This window comes from Homo sapiens, chromosome 1, assembly GCF_000001405.40.
Source record: "Homo sapiens chromosome 1, GRCh38.p14 Primary Assembly".
In the NCBI taxonomy this organism is placed as follows: Eukaryota; Metazoa; Chordata; class Mammalia; order Primates; family Hominidae; genus Homo; species Homo sapiens.
In genome coordinates this window covers 240,546,968-240,553,826 of record NC_000001.11, presented here as the reverse complement: position 1 = coordinate 240,553,826, position 6,859 = coordinate 240,546,968, and the positions used below count along the sequence as shown (strand labels likewise).

At 40.8% G+C, this 6,859-nt stretch overlaps 1 protein-coding gene across 4 annotated transcripts in view; it reads left to right on the top strand.

Annotated features, from left to right (window-relative positions):
• The window catches only part of GREM2 (gremlin 2, DAN family BMP antagonist), a 122,583-nt gene that overhangs the window by 58,329 nt on the left and 57,395 nt on the right, over positions 1-6,859 (top strand). The gene's annotated exons all lie outside the window — the stretch shown is intronic.

Below are 6,859 nucleotides of genomic sequence, written 5' to 3'. Positions count from 1 at the left end.
TGGAGTATTTTCCATGGAACTTTATGAGGAGAATTAAGATAACCAAAGTCTGTAAAGATAAGAGTTCAGATGTTATCCATTGAGGAATATGAATTCTGCTTTGGATTATTTATACATGCATGCACAGGATTTCATTATATTTCTCCATGTATGTTTCATTTCAATTGGTCTCAGAAGTGTTCGTTATATAAATAAGCCATGGCAAGCTTAAGACCTCACACTGCATTAAACATGAAGTGTTAACTGTTTAAAGTGTGTGAGCTTCTCTATGATTGTTAATGGGATTTTGTGCCTAATTAAATGTGGAGACCTGTCATATTGTGTCAACATCCATATTTCATGCTGAGTTGAGATTTTTACGCATCTGACAATTGATGAGTATGTAGGGACCATGAGTGAGGATATCAAAAGAAATTTGTATAACTTGACTCTTAGGGAGTGAGGAAATGGCAATAAAAATTGCATGTATTATTTGCCCTATGATCTTGAAAACTGAACATAGCTCAAATGCAAGAGAATCAGAGAATAGCTTAGCTTTCCACACTCAGACTAGCTTCCCCTTGTAAGCAATAGAATGATAAGGCTGGAAATACCTTTCTTCTGCTCATGCTAACGCTCTCGATAAAACCCGTTGACTTTGCATAGCTTCACCCGATGTCTGAAAAGACCAGCTGTCTCACTTTTAATTCTGGGTTTTCTTTCAAAGTCTTCGTGATTTCTGATAGAATTCTGATGTCCCTGATCAAAGCATGCTGAGATCAGTTTGCCATATACAATTTCCAATACAGAGTTTCTGCCAGAAATACCACTGAATTCCTTTCTTAAAAAGATATTTTCCTGGTACTTCAGGCAAGTAATGTAAAAGAAAGGGGATGAAAGGCTTAAAATGAGATTAAGAGCCTTCAGATATTTAAGATGTGATCAACTACTCTTAATATTTATGGAACACTACACAAGAGAAGAAGAGCTTAATAATTAGAAAGAATGTTTTAATGTTTTATCACCTTACAGCATGTTTCAAAAACTTTCAAGTACAGCATCTTCTAAGATGCATCCCCGCACCAAAATCGGTTAGAAGGACATTATCATTCTGCATTTATACCTAATGAATCTGAGGTTCAGAAAGGCTGAGTCTTGCATTCGCCTCTAGACAGCAGGTCTGCAAGACCAGATCTCCTGACACCTGCCCTAAAGCTTTTCTTGCTCCAGCAAAAACTGCCTTTCAATTTAAAACGATTTTAGAGATAGGGTCTTGCTCTGCTGGAGTGCAGTGGCCCGATCACAGCTCGCTGTAATCTCAAACTCTTGGGCTCAGGCGGTCCTCCCATCTCAGCTTCCCAAGCAGCTAGGACTGTAGCATATACCACCATGGCTGGCTAATTTTTACTTGTTTACTTTTTAATTTTTTTGTACAGACCACATCACTCTATGTTGTCCAGGCTGGTCTCAAACTCCTGGCCTTAAGCGACCCCCCCACCTCAGCCTCCCAAAGCACTGGGATTACAGGCACAAGCCTCCGTGCCCAGCCAAAACTGTCTTTCTATATAGGGAAATGTGTTTTTTAGAAAATGAAAGCTCCCTAAAAACTGGATATGACTTTCAAAGAAAACAATAAGAAATTCCTTTAGTTGAGTGTCTTTGATTTAGCTGATTACTGAAGGCAGAGGACTGAATTTGGTATCATCTCACCATCACTTATACCCAAGGATCGTAATATTACTGCTACAAGAAAAATCTGTGTTCTCTATGGAAGGTCATCCAGTATATGAAGTATGTAGAGTAAGAGAAATTTATGAGAGACACTGTGGTTCAATGGAGAATGTTGGCTTCATAGTCCTGGGCTATTCACTAAAATTAGGTGTAATCTTAGATACACCCTCTTATTTGCAGAATTTACACTCCCTTTCTATAAAATTTGTAAGGAAGGTTGGCATAATCTCTAGGATCCCTTCTTTCTTGAAGAAACTATGACTTTCTGAGGTTCCTCCTCCCTTCTCCATTAATTCAACACATTTTTGTCCTCAATATCCTCACTGAAAGCCAGCCTCAGCATTTAAGAAGGCAAAAAGAAAGAAAATAAACAGAAGATCTTATTTCTGTGAGGTTTTTCATTCTTATTTGTGCTTACATTTTAAGTGTACCTCATTCAATAGTTCATTTAGAAAATAGGTAAACTAAAAAAAAAAAAAGTAAACTAGACCAGGCATGGTGGCTCATGCCTGAAGTCTCGGCACTTTGGGAGGCCAAGGTCAGGAGTTAGAGACCAGCCTGGCCAACATGTGAAACCCCGTCTCTACTACAAATACAAAAATTAGCCCAGTGTGGTGGCATGTGCCTGTAGTCCCAGCTACTCAGGAGGCTGAGGCAGGAGAACTGCTTGAACCCAGGAGGCGAAAGTTGCAGTGGGCCGAGATTGCGCCATTGCACATCAGCCTGGGTGACAGAGCAAGACTCCATCTCAAAAAAATAAAAACAAAACAAAAAAAAACACAAGGTAAACCTATTATACTGAAAATGCGTAGTTTTCACTGAACTCAGTTTCCATGCAAATCAATTTTTGTTTTCAGATGTCAGGGCTTTGAGATCCACAGTCATTCCATTCCCAAGAACCAGTGTTTCATCTTACTTTGAACCCTCATGGAGAAGATCCAAGTGCAGAGGCTATTTCAGTACTCAAGTAGACTCTGTGCTTGGATCAGCTCCACAGAAAGCATGGGGAAGATGAGAAACCAGCTCAATTTCAGAATAAAACAGTATAAATCAAATTTAAGAACATCCAGAGATATTTAGCCCAGGATAGAAAACTTTAAATGAGTTCTTTTAGGCCATAAAAGATTCTTTTTTCAAAATTATTCCTTTTAATTCCAAGTTTCCATCCTAACTGGTCTTCATGATTTTGCTACAGTAATTGCAATCTGTCTAAATAACGAAGGGTGTATTTTAAAGGATGTAGGCTGAGGATGTTTGACAATGTCCATTTGATTGGATATGTCAGCACAATATTTGCTTTTGATCATTCGTAATAGCAATATTCAATGAAAGACATTTTGAATTAGTCAACTTGTAACAAAAATATTTACATCTTTTCAGACTGTCTCAACAGCTCAGTAGCCAATGTGAATATAGAAAAGGAAATGTCATTATAAAGCAAAAAATCAGAGTCTAAATTGACTACTGAAGATACTTAGTAGAGTTCTATTTCCACCTGTCATTTTTAATGCAAAACAACTGATGCTACATTGTGTCCTATTCAGTTTCCCCACTACTCCCCAAGTACCCCGGCACAGAATCTGATCATTTTACCTTTTGTTATGCTATCCTCCATCCTGGGTCACACTCACATTCACTGAGTCTTCTGAGCATTGTTGGAGAAAAGCAGGACATTGTGCCAGGAGTTTGTTTGTTTGTTTGTTTGTTTGTTTTAACAAATCATTAATCTGTAAATCCGCCTGAGTTAATTGGGGGTTTCGGCAAATGGCTAGTTCCCCTAGTAATCAGTGCCCCTGGCTGGGCGCGGTGGCTCACACCTGTAATCCCAGCACTTTGGGAGGCCGAGGCGGGTGGATCACCTGAGGTGGGGAGTTTGAGACCAGCCTTACCAACATGGAGAAACTCCGTCTCCACTAAAAATACAAAATTGGCCGGGCATGGTGGCCCATGCTTGTAATCCCAGCTACTTGGGAGGCTATGGCAGGGGAATCGCTTGAACCCGGGAGGCGGGAGATTGTGGTGAGCAGAGATCCCGCCATTGCACTCCAGTCTGGGCAACAAGAGCGAAACTCCGTCTTAAAAAAAATAAAATAAATAAAAACAATCGGTGCCCCTGACATGGCATTCCCTCGAATAAATAATAGAAGCTTTTGACTTCTTCCTCCATCCTTTCTACTCCTATTTGCCTCATCCATGGTAGAAGCAGGTGCCGGAACCGGCTGAACAGTCTATGCCCCACCTCATGGCTCTAATTCATCCCTTAATCATTCCTTATCTTGCCTACAGAGTCTGTTCTAGGTGATTCCACTCCTGATGGCCACACTGCTTTTCATACATGGAGATCTGTACCTTCCCCTTTCTGCCTTGCCAACTCTGTGTGACACAGAGCCACATCTTTCTCACTGTCTCCAAGCACATCACCGTAGCTTCAGGGATCTCTCATTCTTCAGTGTTATCTCAGAGAAGAAGCTGTAGCTCCTCTTCTCCAAGACCAAGGCCTTTCCAGATGTCTCAGTTCTGTGGAACCCCACCTTCTTTTAAATTCTACACTTTCAGATGCACCGGTTTTTTTGTTGTGTCTTTAATATTTGATTCTGTATTGGGTTTTACCTTGTAAATCTGCTCAAACCTTCTATCTAAAAACAAAAAGTCCCTTTCCTTAGCTCTGCTGGGATTTATCTCTTTTTAGGTTAACCAATTAGTTGATGTATTATTTTTACCCTACTCCTGTTCTCTATCTGCACACTTTTTGCTTTCTTTCTTTTCTTTTTTTTTTTTTTGAGATGGAGTTTCTCTCTTGTTGCCCAGGCTAGAGTGTAATGGTGTGATCTTGGCTCACCGCAACCTCCGCCTCCCAGGTTCAAGCAATTCTCCTGCCTCGGCCTCTCGAATAGCTGGGATTAGAGGCATGTGCCACCACACCTGGCTAATTTTTGTATTTTTAGTAGAGATGGGGTTTCTCCATGTTGGCCGGGCTGGTTTTGAACTCCCGACCTCAGGTGATCCACCCGCCTTGGCCTCCCAAAGTGCTGGATTACAGGCATGATCCACCGAGCCTAGCCTTGCTTTACTTCTTAACAGTCTGATCTGACTTTGGGTGCTTCCTTGACTGGATCTGTTTTCAGTGGTTACCAATGACCTCTTAAATGTCAAACCCAGAGATCTTTTGTTCAGTCATTATTCTTCTGGATTACTCAGTAGCTTCTCCTAAAATCCGTTTCTTTATTTAGTTTCTAGGCTTCTACATGGACCTAGTTCTCTTTTTACCGTCAAGTTTTCTTTCTAACCAAGGTTGTTCGTTTTCCTTTTTTCTCCTTCATTCTTTCCTTCAACCTGAGCATTCATTATTCACAGCCTCCCTCACTTCCCTTTTATTTCTCCCTCAGGAATTTCATCTCTTTTCATGGCTCTAAAGAACACCTTTCCCAAATCTTTAGTCTCGAACTCACTCTTTATCTTTATCTGCAATTAGATACCTCTTACTAAAAGTCCTGTGGTTACTTCAGACTGTCAACATCTTAAACTGGACTCATATATTTTTAGCCAAAACCAGTTTATACTTTATAGATATAATTGAAAACATCATTGTTCCATCAACCCAAACCTAAAGATTTTGAACAAAGTCTTTCTGCACAAATGTAATACAATATATACTTAAGTATGATAAGAGGACTATGTGCAAAAGTTCTAAGGAATATGGTTGACTAAGAAATCTGAAGAATTGGAAAAGACATGGGGAGTTGTTTAAGAAGAAAATTTTAGAGTCTTGTAAGATTGAGCAGCCAAGATCCTATTTCTTTGCCTTTTATTTATTTATTTAATTATTATTATATTATTTTTCTGAGACAGAGTCTCACTCTATAGCCCAGGCTGGAGTGCAGTGGCACAATCTTGGCTCACTGCAATCTCCGCTTCCTGAGTTCAAGTGATTCTCCTGCCTCAGCCTCCCGAGTAGCTGGGATTACAGGCACATACCACCACGCCTGGCTAATTTTTTTTTTTTTTTTTTAAATTTTTAGTTGAGATGGGGTTTCACCATGTTGACCAGGTTGGTCTCGAACTCCTGAGCTCAGATGATCCACCCACCTTGGCCTCCCAAACCGTTGGGATTACAGGTGTGAGCCACCATGCCCAGCCGCGTCTTTCTTTACACTGATTTATCACTCCTACCTTCCTTTCTCTTTCTTCTCCCATCAGATAACATATTTAGTATTCTCTCATGCATTTACTTACTTATTCAATAGCTGGCTAGTCAGCATTTTCTCTGCTTGTGCCTGACTTCCTCTTCTGGGTGGTTTTTAACACATATATTAAGTGGAGAGATTTAGTTTTCTCCCAAGGGTATTTCTGTTCCCAGATTTCCCCCTAAACTACCATATTAATATTCTTAAGACACCTCTTCATGCACATCAGTGCTGTGCTAAGAAGCTTTTCATTTACAAGATCAAATCCAGGTTTCTTTGTCTGGCATTGGAGATTCTTAAAAGTTTGAATCTCCTCTTCTCCACCTCTACTCCCTCTTCACATCCATCTTTAGAACTTCCATTCATATCTATCTGTCTATCTATCTATCTATCTATCTATATATATATATATATATATTTTTTTTTTTTTTTTGAGATGGAGTCTCACTCTGTCGCCCAGGCTGGAGTGCAGCGGTGTGATTTCGGCTCACTGCAACCTCCACCTCCCGGGTTCAAGCGATTCTCCTGCCTCAGCCTCTTGAGTAGCTGGGACTACAGGCGCCCGCCACCACGCCTGGCTAATTTTTTGTATTTTTAGTAGAGACAGGGTTTCGCAGTGTTAGCCAGGATGGTCTTGATCTCCTGCCCTCGTGATCCGCCCACCTCGGCCTCCCAAAGCCCTGGGATTACAGGCATGAGGCACCGTGCCTGGCCTCCATTCATATTTTTACATCAAAAGACTCTTCTCCCATCTACTCCTTCTTTTGTAACTGGGCTATGTGCATTCAAGATTCCAAAGCATTCCTTCACCCTTCTTGCCAAGAATACCCTTCTCCATCTAGCATAGCCTTTACTGTAAATCCCTCCCTTCCTGTTAAGGCCAGGCCAGGCACCACATCCCTTATTAGGCCACCTACAATGTTCTCGGTCTTCAGTGTCTTCTCTCTTGTCTGAATTCCTGCAGC